At 36.1% G+C, this 17,174-nt stretch overlaps 2 annotated features.

Annotated features, from left to right (window-relative positions):
• Window positions 15,635-16,258: an enhancer, noted in NCBI's record as "OCT4-NANOG hESC enhancer chr7:122925059-122925682 (GRCh37/hg19 assembly coordinates)". NCBI's record gives its function as "activates a minimal SCP1, AML or CMV promoter by ChIP-STARR-seq in naive and primed H9 embryonic stem cells {active_cell/tissue: H9 hESC(naive and primed)}" and the evidence as "EXISTENCE:reporter gene assay evidence [ECO:0000049][PMID:30033119]".
• Window positions 16,259-16,882: an enhancer, noted in NCBI's record as "OCT4-NANOG hESC enhancer chr7:122925683-122926306 (GRCh37/hg19 assembly coordinates)". NCBI's record gives its function as "activates a minimal SCP1, AML or CMV promoter by ChIP-STARR-seq in primed H9 embryonic stem cells {active_cell/tissue: H9 hESC(primed)}" and the evidence as "EXISTENCE:reporter gene assay evidence [ECO:0000049][PMID:30033119]".

Genomic DNA, 17,174 nt, shown 5'->3' on the forward strand with positions numbered 1-17,174 from the left:
TAGGACATTGTTCTGCTGAACACAGGTGTTATATATTCAATTAGGAACTTAACTAAAGTTTATCAAAATAACAGAAAATGCACATATGGTATATCATCAACATAATAAAATAATCAAAATAATAATATTCACCATACATGGTTATTATGAAAATTAAATGGGGAAACATTTGTGAAAAATGGGAAGCCATAAATTCCCCGTTAAACTTAAGTGAATGTAATGAATCTATGCAGTAAAAAGAAAGTTCTGAAATCCACACTGGGTTCTTGGCCAAGATCTTAGACTTGCCAAGATGCCTGCTCTAGTAGTTGGTTTCAATGATAAAAGGCTCTGCAGCAATATAAGCATTGTTTTTATTGACTATTTAAACTGTGCTCCTACTGTTATCACACTCTTGGGAGGAGGAGACAGACGCTGATACCAGGATGAAGTCATAGAGAAATTTTTCTGATGAAAGCCCTCCAACTGAATGAGTTCACACCTAATGCCAACCCAGCAGCAGGGGATTCATCACAATATTCAACAACCACACCTTAGAAGCCAATGTCATCTGCCCAAAGCAAAGCTTCTCATAATTTATCCTTACAGTAGAGATTTCTATCTAGTATACAAAAGCACACATGCTACAAGGATGCTGAAATATTGATCTCTTCAATCCCAATGTGCTTTTCATATATGAGCAATTTCTATGTGGACCATGATGACAAAAAAGAAGCCCTGGATAACATTGCAAGGTCAGATATGCATGTTGGCGCCCTACCTTTGACCCCATTTTAGGAACCTAAGCAGCTGTCCAAGGCCTTCTGTGGCACTCTAGTAATTTCAGATAGAAAAACTTTGCTCTTTCCTTGTTTTTTTTCTCTTCAAAGCTGTTATATGTACCACATTCCTTTACATCAGGTATTCTACTTGGAAACATAGAGAATGTCTTGTGCCAAGGAGCTCACTTAGATATTGATTCAGTGGATTTCCATCACCTCCGAAGAAGCATTGCAACCCTTGGGGTTGGAATCCTGAAGAATTTAGTGATGCTGGTATTTCAGTCCCAAGTGCAAACCAGGGATGAGATGTGTTTGGCTGTCTTCCTCTCTGTCATCACCTGAAGCCTGCTGTGTATATTAGGCCCATTTTTATCTGCAATTTTAGATGTTTACTGAAATGAAGAATATAACATAAAATACAGAAGTTACAAGTTGCTTATTTAACAGTCAATAAGGGCAATTTCTATTATTGCTTTTGAGGACTAGTTATTTTGAAAATCTTGCCATCAACTCCAGATTTCATTATCTCCGTAAAAGAACAACTCCAAATGACAGTCAAGTGCTTATTGAAGATATGTGACTGCTGTATCTGTGTCTGCCTCCAAACCCCTGGTGAGCTGTTTGCTACTAAGAACTGTGGGATCAGCCCTCATCTAGTGTCTTCCCTTAGGATGTAAAATAGCTAACACCATCACTCTAAAAGCTCCTTTCTGCATAAAGGCATCAAATTACAAACCAACCATATGATTACTTGGGGGCAGATGGATGTATGTATTTATGTTTATACATATGTATTATACATCTAGTGAACATTGGAAAAATATGAAAAAAAACTTAACAGACATTTCTTTTTAGCCCCACTTTCTCTGAGGTGGCTAAATGAAGACATTGAAGATTATTTCATGAAATGTTCATTAATATCCTCAGAAACATTTCAGGGGTACATCTAAAAAGGTAAGGTTACATTTAGACTCATGCCCTGTTTACCTTAGCAGAAGGCAACCTACCAAACTTAAAATTGAGTTTCTTCCCTAGACTCTAACTTCTACATTTCTGTTCCCACTGCAACTGTTATGTAGAATGAGGTGTGAGACTCATTTTTTCTGCATCCTCCTGTGAAATATCGTACCATGGAGTGGCCCAAATCCCTCATCACTGCTCAAATGGCAGGAATGAGATTCTATACCTAAGGGGGAAATTACTGTGGAGGACAGCAAGTACATTATGTTCTGTTGCCACTCTGAAGAAGGCTTAAGATATCAGGAGGGGTGACAGAGGAATGAAAGAATGTAACGTTCACATATCAGAGACAACAAGGGTAAGAAGTGAGGTCTGGATATCAGTGAAGGGCCAAAGTGACTCATCATGAGGCATTTTGCTTGAAGTCCCAAAGGAAGAACACAGTATTCTCATTACTAGGGTGTAGCACACACGGTGCTTAATTTTGTCTTTTGGGGGTATGAATAAAACCTCTATTTATTATAAAAAGAGCAAAAAGAAATGCCCTCAAATTTCTAGTATTAAAGACTGAACTTGAAGAGGAAAAATAAATAAATAAACAAATAACAAGGATTTACTTTGGAGATATGACTAGGTAAATTCTGTCATAAAGAATTTCACTCTCTAAGCCCCTATATCAATTGTAAGACCAAGGGAACTAAAGAGTGTTCCTTAGGGTAAAAGGTCTTTTAAAGTTCTCCCTCTTCCCTAAAGAGTATCAAATTATGAAACTTAAATCACTTGAGAATTACTTTTAAGAACCTATTTTTTGTGTATGTCTCTTTTCTCTGAACTGCAAAATGCTTCAGTGCTCAGGACATCAGTAAACAATTTGAAATATATAGTGATCTCCTTCTACTTCCTTGAGCTCTAGTGATAAGAATCAGACCCAAAAGAGAGATGCTGTCACATACCAGACTGAATAGTGTTTTCCAGGCCAATTCTTTAAGAGACTCAAAAAAATCTACATTTTGCGAAAAACCAAGCCCACATTCAACAGATCTGCCCTGGGAGTCCTAGGGCATGGTGACGCAGCTTGGAGCCTAGAGTTCTGCCTTCTCATCTGGTCTCCTTTACTTGTGGTGGGCTTCTGGGCTTCAGTTTGCTATTTAGTGAAGTAGATGGATGGAACTAAATGATCTCTAGATTATCTTTTGGCTCAGAAGCTCAAAGATTCTTTGACACTTAACACTCATTTGCATGAGCCCACTCACACACACAAGTGCACATATACATAAAGAAACTTGTTTTTGTATGGTGTCATTGGTTGGGGTAGTTTGTGATTTTAAGTGAACACCCCTAGCAGGATTGAAGAGTAAGAAGTGATTGGATTAGGCCATCCATCAGCAGTTAAGAGAGCAATTTGGAAAGTCCACTGAGAAGAGAAGAGTTTGCCTATCAACCCACTATTCACAAGCACTGGGCAATAGAGGAGAAAAAAAATTCCATATTTATGAGCAGACAAAGGAATGTCAGTGAAACACATGATTTAGAATGAAACCTAGACAGTAAAAGAGAGGGACACGTTGAAGAGTTTTTAAGACAAAGGACAAGTTTGAGATGGGCAGAAAAAGGCAAATCGGAACTGCACAAAGCCACATGAAAAGGGTTACAAAACCTTCAACAGAAAGAGCTGTGCCCATTTTTATATTCCTCACTGAGAAGATGATATTCCTCGACCTGAAAGAAATAACTGTATTTCATATACTTTTACAGATTTGGGAGATGAAAAATAACATTTCTAAAGAACTTTCAGTTATTAGGGAAGGAAGGTCAGAGAGTAGCATCTAAGCAGTCTTGAAAGGGTGAATTAGAATTTGCCAGGAGTCCAGGTAGGAAAATTCATCATAAATGATACATTTACAACTCAACCATTGTAATATAATGTATCCTGAGCTTTCTACCTTTTAATTAAAATATTTATGTTTGCAACATATAAGATAAACCTGAAATAATAAAATGGTTTTATTAGATAAATAACTTTAAAAGTGGCAAGTAGAAAAAAAATAAGAAGTCATTCACAATTCTCTCAATGGATCTGTGTTACCACAAAAGGTCTTGCAAGTGTACTTCCTATTGAGAAATCAGAAATATGCTTTTAAATTAACAATGCTAAGAAACAACAAAAAAGTCACTTGTTTTAGCGAAGTGATCAGTTTTCAGACAAGGCAAGTTTTTCTATTTTTGCTCATTAAATAAAATCTGTAGAATACCATTGGTTTGCACTGAGCTCCTGCAATAGGCCCAATAGACAAAACCAAAATGGAGTCACTCAGGCCATGCTACAAAGTTAAACTAAATTGCTTATTGGACCTTCCTTCCAAGAAATCAGGAGAGAGAGAATAGCCAAATTTCCAAATAGGCTAGTTTTAGCTTGCACGATCAGGAAAGTCCCCTCTGCTTTCGCCTTTAGTTTTGAAACGACCAACCTGCTTTTTGTCCTCTGTTTCTGCTTTCCTTAGACCTTCTTTGTCAATAAAGCCAAGCTCCTCTGTTCAGCTTCTCAGAACACTCAGTTTTATAGAATGAGGTGTTCCTCAATTCTAGAATTGTAAAAATAAGCTAATCGAGATTTTAAAATTGAATTTGTTGTAATTTTATTTTTCGACACCCTACACATAGCAATATCTCAAAATCTCATTCTCTTCTCCATGGCTGAAATTTAGCTTCCCCAAAATTTTAATTTCTCCCTTAAGACTATCCAGACGCTACTTCCTCTGTGACAGTTCTTCTCTGACCATTCCCAAAGCCTCCAAAAGAGAGATTCATCCTACATGTTCACTTCTGTCATCAATTCTTTATCATCTCATCCACTCAACTCTGAGCACCATGAAGCCAAGGAATATGTTTTGTTCATCTCAGTCCTTCTATGACTTGGCATGGTGTATGGTCAGAGTTGGTGCTCCAAAAGGATTTTCTTCAATGAATGAAATAAAACTAAGATAAAAGTCGCATCTGCATATTTGCCATTTTTTTTAATTCAGAGACTTTGATACATTAAAACACACAGGGAGTGAAAGAATTTGTCTTTCTAGGGCATCTATTAGAGGCAGGTCAAGCATCATACATGATAAATTTTCAACTTCACCCATCCACCCTGTTTACTTTGTGTATTTTGATAAAATATTTTTCAGAAGCATCCATGCATTTGTGTAAGTAAGTTTTACAGATTCCTATTGACCACATTCTAGGTTTTGAAATCAGTGTAGGAAATAAACTCTGGACTACTCACTGTTATGAATTTATTTAAAATTTTTGAACCAAAGCAGAAATAATAAAAAATTACTGGACATTGCCATTACTCCATTCATTCAAAATCCTTTTGTCTTCATTTCTTTATCTGTAAAATAAAAAGTAACACCTGCAGTATGGATTATTGTGAGAATAATAGGAATTAAATGAAAAACATACAAAAGTCTAGACTCTAGCACATAGAAGGTACTTTGTAAATGGTGGCTATCAATACTATTGCAAAGTACATTTGAGGGATTTGGCCTGAACTAAAAGATACTACATCCCCCTTCCTCCTTGTGCCCATTCAGAAAAAATATTTCTCATTTTTTTCTCTATGCTTACTTATGTATTAAAGGTTTCATCATCTCTGGTAGAAATAGGATTTCAAATTACTATAGTAATGCCTATTATAATTCTTAGATGATGATCCTCTAGATACAAAGCCAAATAAATTGCCATCAGCTAGAGAAAACACATGGTACAGTTTACATTACCCACTGTGTGATTTAGGTTTAGTTACTTAACCTCTCTGGGCCTTAGTTTTCACACCTGTAAATTGGGGATAATAACAGCATCTATTTCATGAAGTGTTGTAATGATAAAAATGAATGAAAACACACACACATACACACACATATACACCCCTCCTAGAATATTGCCTGCATGTTGTAAGTTCTACTTAGATGTTTACTTTTAGTATTATTCATTTTAATAAACACTGAACCTACTAAAACAGACAAGGACATACAACACAATCTGATTAGCGATCCATCGATTCTTCATTACTCTAATTTGGGGAGTGAAAATGTCAAGGGTAGTCAGACCCATTCCTGTCTATTGTAGCTTAGAACCACAGCTGGGCCCTAAGAATGTTATCTTGAATAAGAGACCATATGCCCACTTAAGTGAGTCAGGAATTATAGGCTTATAATGTTTTGTTTTCCTAAAAATGTTTCACTTTGCAATAACCAACTTTTTAACAGAGAAAAAAGAGAGAGTATTTAAATATAAGAGCTACAGTTACAAATAAATTTCAGAAAGTACTTTCTCATTAAGAATAGAGGTGGAAGAGAAAATATTTACATGGAAACATTTTTCTTACTTTGCCAGCAACTTTCTGAATTCCCATTACCATATCTCTGAGTTATTTTTGATTTCTACATTAAGTTCCTTTGTGTGTTACATCAGAGTTTGTTGCTATGGAGATGTCAGAGATGGCACAGATTCACCAGCATGAACCATTTTCTGAACAACTAAACATCATTCCCTCCCATAAAAGAAACATGCCTGTCTCACATATCCTTTGTGTTTCCATTCTGAGAAATAAATATAGATCTCACATTTTTCATTTAAATTGTTGACCATTAGATATGGTAGATTTCTTAATAAAATATTACTTACATTTGGAAAAGATACATGTATTGATAAATAATGTACATTCTGCAAAAATATTATTAACCACTATACTGAATAATGTTTTTACAACTCACAAAATTATTATCACCTATGCTATATTATTTGATCCACACAGCCTCCAATGACATAGGAAGATATGACCTTATTTTCTCATCTTATAAATGAGCATGTAGAGATCCAGAAAGAATAATCTGCTCAAGGGAAAAATGGAAATATTGGCATGTACACCCAGGTCTTTTGATCGTTCCTCTTCAACTTCCTCCATTTCTGCATATCTCAGAACACAATGTCATTTTCAAGTCTAGTAATTACAGTTTTCTGACACTATAATTTTCTTCTTCTTCCTCCTCATAACTAATAGCTACTGGGTGGCCACCGTGTTTGGACACTGTCTCCAGTGCTATGTATCATAGTTATCACATGAAGGTAACTGAGGAGACAATAGCTGCTGTTAAAGGTAAGGCATGGAATTCAAATATACTTGTAGTAAAGTTTATCAGTTTGTCACTAGGTACTTTAAGGAAATTAGAAAAGCTTAGTTTAAAGCCACAAAGATTTGTCATACAAGCAAAAACAATTAAACCACACTCTATGCTGTATTTGTTTTATTTGTTGCTTTATCTCCAACACCTAATAGAGTGCCTGACTTGTGATAAACATATGATAAATATTTGTTGAGTGCTAGGTTTGCCACAATTAGTGTCTCTGACACACATACATACACAAACACCCTATTGATGCAATTTCCCCATTTTATGTAATATGTGTATTTCTAGAGCTTAAAGAAAAAATTATTCTACATATTTGAAAGTAAAATTCTAATCATGAATACAGGACCTTGGGACAGCCTCTTTGGCAGGCTTTGACTAACCTGCCTGTTTGGAATATCAGTAGGGAAACATCACTGCTTGGGAGACTTTTAAAGAGGAAAATATTTGGTTCTCAGAGATTTTTATTTTTTCTTCTGTGGCTCCTTTTTCCTTTCCGTATCTCTGGTCTCTGCTCCAGTCATTTCTTCTTTATATAAGGTGCCTTCATTCTCCTTATCCTCTCCCTTCCTAATGACCAGCTGCCTCTCCCCAACTAAGCTTCCGAGAGAGGCGCCCACTCAATATTCCATGTACTCGTCCTATGTTTCTTTGTTCTGTTTTTTCCCACCCCCCACTGACATTTCCCTGATCTGTGTCCCATTTCCATAGGAAACTTTGAGCTGCCTAGAAGTAATGAACTAACAGGAACTGAGATTTTAAACACTAACAATGACTGTATGGGTTCGCCTTTAAAATACTGTTTGAAAATCACAACTTACTTGATTTGTTCACTTGTCTATTGTCTGTATCCTCCACTAATATAGTAAAATTCACACGGGTAAAAGCCATGCCTGTCTTGTTCACTACTTTGTCCTTCCATTTCTGTCCAGTCAAAAACCAATCCCGAAGATTCAGATCAAATCCAGATATTCAATAAAGCCTTTTCTAATCACTATTTCATTATGGCAGCCCTAGAACACTGATATAGGAAGATAATCAATACTGTGAATTAGGAATTCAGAGAGAAGAGTTATTGCTTTTAACTTTGTGTAGTGATTAGAAAAGGCTTTATTGAATATCTGGATTTGATCTGAATCTTCAGGATTGGTTTTTGCCTGGACAGAAATGGAACTTCAGCAAGAAGACATCTTAGATAAACAGTGTGAATAATGGCCTTCAGCGGTTAAGGTGGCTCCTGTGTCTAAAGACTGTCAGTCCCTCGATGTGGACGTAACCGGCGCCTGCTGCTCTGTGGCTGCTTTGGAAACTGCAGAGATCCCACTGAGAGAGGGACATGTTGGAAATGTGCACTGGCTTTCATATTGGATGATCAATGTTCTTCTCACAGCTCTAGAGCTGATCAGCTCTGTGACCTTGACTGCTTCCAACGTCAAAGTAATGAAGGGATTGGATGGTTTGCCTTTAGAGTGATAAGATTCTGGTGATCTGAGAGTCTACGACCTCTCTGCATCACTGGAGCTGGGGAGTAAAAAAGAGAGAGAAGAGTAGGATAAATGAGGCTTCGTTGTGGCAGTCAGGGAGCAGCTGCTCCTCAAACCCTTGGTTTATTGAAAAGCTCCTGGAAATATCTACTATCAATAAAATCAGATGAGGTTAAAAAAAATGGGATCAGATATTAACTTAGTTTCAAGGACAGAACCTAAAAGAGGTCAACATTGCCCTGGGCCTAGTTAGGTAATACAGGAGGTGAGTAGAGATTTAAATCTACAACAAAAAAGTTAGAGAAGGAGCATTTAAGATAGAAAAGCAGAAAAAATGTGACAGATGAAGGGGAAAAATGAAGTTTTGATAGAGAACAAAATCGCAAAACTAATGAATATCTTGCAATGCATTTTTTGAATGGCTCTGCTGAATGTTGACAACATGCATTTTTAAAAATCCAAACTAAAATCAATTTGGTATCAAATTTGGTATTTCACTTTTACTTTTCCTTGTTTTTTTTCTCATGTGCTCCATATATTTTCCTTTTTGATGAGGAAAGTGATTGTGTTAGTAGCCATTGCAGGGTGACCATAGGCTATATAAGAAGATGAGGAAGAACCTAATGAGGGACAGATGATATAAGACTTCCTTTTTGGGCATCCTCTTCTCCTAAATAGCTTTCTGAGCCCATGGATTCACACTCAGTGCTTGGTTAATAGGCTCACATTCTGTTTTTCTACTGGCTTGCAGGTTTTAATTTTTTTTCATAATCATTTCTCGTTAGATCCTTTTGGAAATCTATGAGATGAATACAGTAGAAATCGTTATCTTTCTTTTACAGATGAATAAACTAAGAATCTCAAATAGTGTGCTCCAATTGCCATTAAGTATTAGAGTCAAGTAAAACCACATCATTTCCTACATTCTCCTAGGGAAATGGAGGTAAGCAGAGTAATGAGAGTTGTATTACATTGTTTTGCTGGTGGAGGGTCTTGCCTCAATGTTGAGGGCCTTGCTTTGGATTAGGCTTTGGCTTAAGGTAATGTTGCATCTGGGTTGATCTTCTATGCAGACCACTAAAACCTTCTCCATATCAGCAATATGGCTAACTTTGGTGCAAGAGGCCTAGTGTTTGGCCAGCCTTGGTTTTTGGCATGCCTTCTTCACAAACTTAGTCGTGTCTAGCTTTTAATTTAAAGTGAGAAACATGCAACTCCTCTTTTCACTTGAACGGCTTGGAGGCCATTGTAGGCATACTTATTGGCCTAGTATCGGTATTGTTTTGTCTCAGGAAACAGGGAGGCCATAGGAGAGGGAAAGAGATGGGAGAACGGACAGTTAGTGGAGCAGTCAGAGCAAATACAACATTTATCAATTAAGTTTGCCATCTTATATGGGTGGGGTTTGTGGCATCGCAAAACAATTACAGTAGTAACATCTATGATCACTAGTCCCAAATGACCACAACAGATATAATAATAACGAAAAAGTTTGAAATTGCAAGAAGTACCAAAATGTTACACAGAAACATAAAGTGAACACATGCTGTTGGAAAAATGGTAACAATAGACTTGCTCAATTAGGGTTTTCAACTTGTAAAAAACACAGTATCTGTGAAGCACAATAACGCAAAGTGCATAAAACGAGGTATGCCAGTATCAGAATAATAAGTAAATGTTGAAAATAATATTGTAGAGGAATATTTAATAGCTTGAAAAAATGTCGTATATATTCTTTTAAGTGAAAAAAGAAAATTATATAACAATGTTTTTCATTTAAAAATGGGAGAATATACTCCTAAAACATTAATGATGATAATCCCTGAATTATATATTATAATTTTAATTTTCTTAATTATGCCTTTTTATACCTTCTATTTTTTATGGTGCAATAGTTTTATATTTTAAATCAGGAGAATATTTTATCACGGAAAACTAGGGGAAAATTAGGAAGAGAAACCTCAAGGCTAACAATCACTTTGGGCTTTCTGGCAAAACAAGATAGAAGGCTGAAACACTGCTCCTGTTCATCTGTTTGTGTTATTTTATATAATAATTAGAAAATGCCAAGGGAAAACATTGAAATATTTCAAAACAAAAGCAATCAGAATTTTAAACACTGAGATAGAAATGCCCAACTAACTTTAAAAAAGCAAAAAGCAAAAAAAGCTTCCCTCTTAAATTTCATGTTGTGATTAGAACAAATGTGACACTTATTGTGTGCTTGAACTTTAAAAGACATAATGCAGTATCTCAAGCTATAAAAATAGTATTAATTCAAACTAATTTGCATAAGCACATGTGGTAAACATCAGCTGAAAGACATTAAGAAGAAAAAGCACAAACTGTGTTAGGTTGAATGGCAATATTTCTAGTTCTAAGGAGGCACTTGCACATTCTACTACAAATATCCATAGTAATGTAATTCACAACATATTTACTAACTTCCTTCCATGTGCAAGGCATTGTGCTATTCCCCATGGGAAATGGGAAGCTGCATATTCTCTGCCCTGAAGACATTTATGATCTTTTAGGGAAAATGAACACAACTAATCATATGCAAAGTTGTTTGGGAGATGATAAGAGAGAAGAGTAAACAATGTTTTATAGGAGTTAAGAGGATAACAGACTTTGCCTATTAATAATCCAAAATAGGAAATGAACTTCTCAAAAGCAATGTTGGCTGATGATTCCAAATTGGAAATTATGGAAAGAAAGATAATGTAAATGTAATCCCAGCACTTTGGGAGGCCAAGGCTGGCGGATCACCTGAGGTCAGAAGTTTGAGACCAGCCTAGCCAACATGGTGAAACCCCATCTTTACTAAAAATACAAAAATTAGCCGGGTGTGGTGGCACACGCCTGTAATTCCAGCTACTCAGGAGGCTGAGGCAGGAGAATTGCTTGAACCCGGGAGACAGAGGTTGCAGTGAGCCGAGATTGTGCCACTGCACTCCAGCCCGGGTGACAGAGCAAGACTCTGTCTCAAAAAAAAAAAAAAAAGAAAGAAGAAAGATAATGTAAATTTTCCAAATATGTTTGGAAATGGGAACAGAAACAAAATGACATTCAATTTGTAAAAGTTTTTAAAAAGGCAGGTAATCATCTGAAAATAATCACTCAAAAGCATAAGTATCCAGTGGGCAAAAGCCTGGAAAGCAGCATTACCCAAAACCTGTGAGCTAGTGTATATACTAACTACCCTTATTGGATAATTATAAAACATAGACATGTATTGAAATATCAAATTGTAGCCCATAAATATGTACAATTACAATATATCATTTTTTTAAAAAAAGTTGAGGCTAATGGGTCATAGTTAGTTGCAACTCAGTGTTACAGCCCAAAGTCCTAATATCAGGGTATTCAGTAAGGAAAGAAGATGAGGAGGTCTCTAGTAACAGAGTATAAAAAGGATATTTACAATAGTGAAGCTCAACTAGAAAAGAATATTTCATTACCCCAGGAAAAGAGATAACAAATCACCTGGAAAGCATAGAAAAAAAAGCATTTAAGATTTTTATAGAATTAAGAACAGGGGGAAAAAAATCCTGCTTAGATAAAGATATAACTTAAGTAAAAACAGAGTTTAAGTAGAGTGGAAAGAAAAGCTGAAAACTCTAGAATCTCATGGCAACCATGAGAAAGCAACCAACTGAAAGTATTTATGCCTTCCAGCTAAGACAAGAGGAAAACCATATACTGAAACATGGTTAATTCAGAAACTATAGCTTTAATAATTCTTGGCTAAATTGGATGGCTATTGAGTCAATCAAATTAAGGACAGAACAAACCCAATCTACTGTACCCTGAAAGATTGAACTGTTTTTAAATGACACTTGACAGGATTAAATTAAGCAAAATTTTGGTTCAAAGTCAGGAGGTTGCCTGAAAACAAAGCACGGACTAAACTCACTTAACCAAAGTGCCTAAAAGTATCTGGAATGGTTCTTGACCAATAAGGAGGTATTTTTTAAGAGTACCTCAATGCACATTTGTCTGTGGGCCTCTTCAAATGCTGCATGGCCATAGGCTTCTTGCCTTGGTGATCCCTCTTACAGAAGTGTTGGTTGATAATATCTTGATCTCTTTGGCTAAGTAAGTGTGGAGGACTGAAGCATCTTCTTTATGCACAGTATGGTGGGATGGGGGTGGGTATACTATGCCTGTTCTGGTCATTACAGTTCAGGGCTAGAAAATGTTAAGCAAATATATTTTTTTCTTTCCTTGCCCTGCCATCTACTCCTCTTCTCTATAGTACACTTAGGTACTTCAAGCTAATGTTAGCTTAACTGCCATGTATTGCTTAGGGAGAAAAAGTTAAATTGACACTTGAAATTTAAACATCCTCACTGTCATGTCATGTTTTCCAGTTCAAAATCATCTGTGAATCATTCACTCAAAACAGTATAATCTAAACCTTAAAAATTAGCATATCTTTTATGTCTTCTAAAAGTAAATTAATCATAAAACAGCATTTCAATAAAATATTATTGACAAACTGATAAGCAGGCTCATTCTCTCATTACACAGGAAAGAGATTTATAAACCAAACTTTGGGTATTGTCCAAGGCAGAGGAAGTCAAATAAACCTAAAATTCCTCCAAATGTCACCATTACCCTCTGACCACAAGGACTGGAACTCTGAACCACAAGACACATTCCATAGCATCAGCCTAATCCTACCTAAAGAAGAATTTAGCAGCTCTTGGAGGCCTTATGTCTGTATTACCTAAGGTCAACTCAAGCTGGTTTATTAAAAGCTTCTCCTTGTTTTAGAAGAGTCCTGAAGTACCATCCTTCTGTTTTCTGCTTTTGTTTCTTTTGTATTCTTGTTCTAGTTGCTCATCTCTGAAGCTTTGATTCAGTCGGGGGCACCTGAACATCAGATCTCCGGACTATGGTTTCCATAAAGAGTCTTTCCTTGTTACAAAATGACTCACAGGGTCTAAAGCACTACTTTATATTAGAGTCCTTAACACAAGCTTTTACTACTTAGCAGATAAGTAATGGTCAGCATAGATGAGAATTAAGTCATTCGACAACAACTTTATAATAAGGTAAAAATTTACTAACAGTTTAATTTCTATTGTCAGAAAGTAAGATTTAATTTTTTAAAATAAAAATAAGAAAAAGATGCCACAGATTTCTTTAGCAGACATACAACTGGAATTAAAATGAGGAGTCTTTACTAGATTACAGAATATGTATAGTAACAACAGATGCCAATTTATTCCCAGGTGTCAGATACTAAGGTACCACTTAGTTGAAAAGATGACTTTAATTTGGGGTGTCAAGTTTCTGAGATAATCAGTTAGTTGAAATGATAGCATAAAACTGACTAGACAAACCAAGAGAATTCTAGAAATAAGCAAAGATAGTGAAGTAGTGTCCCAGTGACCTCAGGATGCCAGCGTCTTGCCTGCTTCGAGACAGATCATAGGGACATTGCTGTCTCTTTGTTTCCAAAGCTCAGCCTCTTTTTCTAGAACTCTCATCTAAGTTTTCCTTTTCTGTATACCTCGAACATGTGTTTTCTCCTTCTCAATGTTGTATTACACTTGCTGCATTTTGATACTTCCAGCTTGTAATATCATAAGTCTTTATAAATTTCCGTCATTGTTACTTTGAGTTTATTTTTCAATTAGTCATGAATTTAAACATGTTTTTGCATATCATTTGTTAATAATCTTATTTTCTATAAAATGAGAACCCTCAAGCATTACCTCTTCTGATAATAGAAATAAATCTGCAGGCAGACTCTACTGGTCATTTTAATAACTGATTAGATTAAGAAAAGCCATTGACTCGATTTCAGGTCTTTATCTCAGACTGTGATTAACTCTTAGGTAACATCTGGCCAGACTATCATTGTCATGACCACAGGTTTTTATTGTGTCACTGGTATTATGTCCAAGATCATACTGTTTCTGTGTCTGACTTTTGAGGATTTTAAGCTTGTGAGCAATTAGAAAATATGTCTTTGCTTTCAAACATATCAAACCAAAGAGGTACACATTCACCCATAACATAGTATTAAGAAACTGTGTACAAGGGTAAGTCAGATGAGATTGTATTTACTGACGAACTGACCACTGCATGTCCCCTGGGTCGTCTACTCTATTGTTCATTGTAAGATCATGTGGATTGTATATATCAGTTTCCAACGTGAATTTATTAATGTTCTCCAGCTATCTAAATGTCAAGAGATAGGAACAAGAGTAATTGCATATAAATGCAAGGTACTTTTTGACACCAAATCCTAGAATCTGCAAACAGAAGAAGCGGTGGAGGCACAGAAAAATTCCCAGGAGTTTTACTAATGTTAGTTTTAAGATAAATACCACAGAAATGCTTTTTCCCTTCAATCAACTTCTTTTCCTCTGAGGAGTCACAGATCTTTACTTATATAATCTTTATTTGCCAGATGCTCTATCCTTTTTGCAAATGCTACCATGTTAAAATATAATTACAAGAAGATAATATTGGGTAAACTTCTACAATCATTTAATAGTCAATGCTTTCTTATAACCACTGCGAAATTCACTATCCGTAAATGTTAGAGGAAAGTGTAGAAATAAAGTTAGAGACCACCAGTAGAAGGTACTGGAAAGCTTGGTAATTGTGAGATTAGCTATAACAGGACAAAGTAATAATACCAAAACAAAGCCAAAAGGTCTTATGCCATATATACACCGAATTTAATGTCATAGTTAACCAGAGACTCTCATGTCAATCCTGATTTGCCAACTCCATACAAATTTGGAGGAGGGAAAGGATGAATTGAAGGGGAAGTTTGAAATATGTACGTAATTCATACATATTTCATATTGTAATATACATATATACAGAAATATGTACTAATATTTTAACAGCGGTATGGTCCTGACCTCTCTTAGGTCTATTTGAATGATTGGAGATGATACAATGTTGTTATGAAGCAGAATCAGAGGCAATGATTCTAACCTCTGTACACATAATGTTTATTTGGTGGTAGTAACCTTGGTCTATCATGGTTTAGAAATGTGTGTGTGTGTGTGTGTGTGTGTTTCTGTGTTTGTGTGTGTGTATGTTTTGAGATGGACTCTCACTCTGTCGCCCAGGCTGGAGTGCAGTGGCACGATCTCAGCTCACTGCAACCTTTGCCTCCGGGGTACAAGCGATTCTCCTGCCTCAGCCTCCCAAGTAGCTGGGACTACAGGCACATGCTACCACACCCAGCTAACTTTTTGTATTTTTAGTAGAGACAGGGTTTTACCGTGTTAGCCAGGATGGTCTCAATCTCCTGACCTCATGATCTGCCCGCCTCAGCCTCCCAAAGTGCTGGGATTACAGGCATGAGCCACTGCGCCCGTCTAGAAATGTCTACGTGTTTTAAACTGCCATTGAAGAGATAGCTTGTTGTACTCACAGTTCTCAAGACCTCACATGATTCCCCCATCACACCATGTGGGGGCGACACACAGAGAAGCACCAGAATCAGTCAGGAGGCAGGAGCATGGAGGGGGGAATATGTGGGACAATCTTTATTATGGTTTTCATGGAGAAGGAATGGGGGAGGCACATGTAAATCTGGCCAGTTTGAGTAATTTCAGTGGGTTCTGGGACCTAGGAGCTTTTTCTAGTTGCCTGGTACCGGGCCCTGGGGTGATTAGAGTAAGTGGATGGTGGTCCAGGAGTATGAGAGCCTGATAAGGAAGATTGTTAAAGTTGTAGGATCTGGATTGCTTGCTTTGCATTTGAAAAGTGTGTTGATGGGTGAGTTGTTTACCATCTTTAGGAATTGGCTAACTCTGGGAGGAGCAGCGCCCCCAGGGTTAGCAAAGCCACACATGTAAAGGCATCAGGATACAAAAAAATAAAAGACATGGTTAATGCACTACATTGTCTAGTAGACAACCTAGGTGTAACGAGCCATTGGTTGCTAGCATAGCTGGTCAGTAATTATCTATGTAATTTTAACAAGTCACTTCTCTAGCCTTTAATTCCTCCACTGGTAAAATAAACATTATTTTATTAGATAAATCTTTATTTTAAGTAATTACTTAGGGTACTTTGAGTTATGAGCACGTGACAAAAGGAGATTCCGTATTATAGTTGACAAGATAACAGGACAAGAATTTGGATTATAAATTCTCAGTAAATTTTGTCTGATGTAAGAAAATTGAGTTTGAGTACACCTGGTTTTTTAGTCAAAGCAGTCAAGTTGTTACTGTAACTACAGACTAAAAAATTGCAATTTAAAACTAGAATTTCTGACATAAAGAGCATCTGTATCTTATCTTCTTATTCAGCTTTTATATAGCAACAAGGACATGGAGAGCTTACCATAAAATTGGAAACTGATAAATTTATGCATAACTACCAGTAGCCAGCTAGTCACTAAAATGTCTTTAAGCAAAACACAAATGTGGATTGGAAATTGTAAGACAGAATTCAAGAATGTTGTTTCTAACCATATGGGGAAGTCATTGTTAAGCTTACATACTTCTGATATTTCTAATATTTTGGTAAAATCTTTCACTCTCCTCTTTACTCTTACATAGAAAACCTTCTGACTAGACTTTATTCACCATCTTTATGTTTTGGTTTTATACAAGTACATTTTTGAACTGAAAAGTTTCCTATGTGTGTGTTTCTGTATGTACATTTTCAGGCAGAAAATCAGGTCACAAAAGAATAAGTATAACATAATCATATATTTGTAAAAACAAATAAATACATTTAAAAGTCTGAAAAAATAGTCAAATATTAACAAAGATTCTTTTTAAATTTTTAATACATTATATTTG

This window comes from Homo sapiens, chromosome 7 (genome assembly GCF_000001405.40).
Source record: "Homo sapiens chromosome 7, GRCh38.p14 Primary Assembly".
NCBI classification, from domain to species: Eukaryota; Metazoa; Chordata; class Mammalia; order Primates; family Hominidae; genus Homo; species Homo sapiens.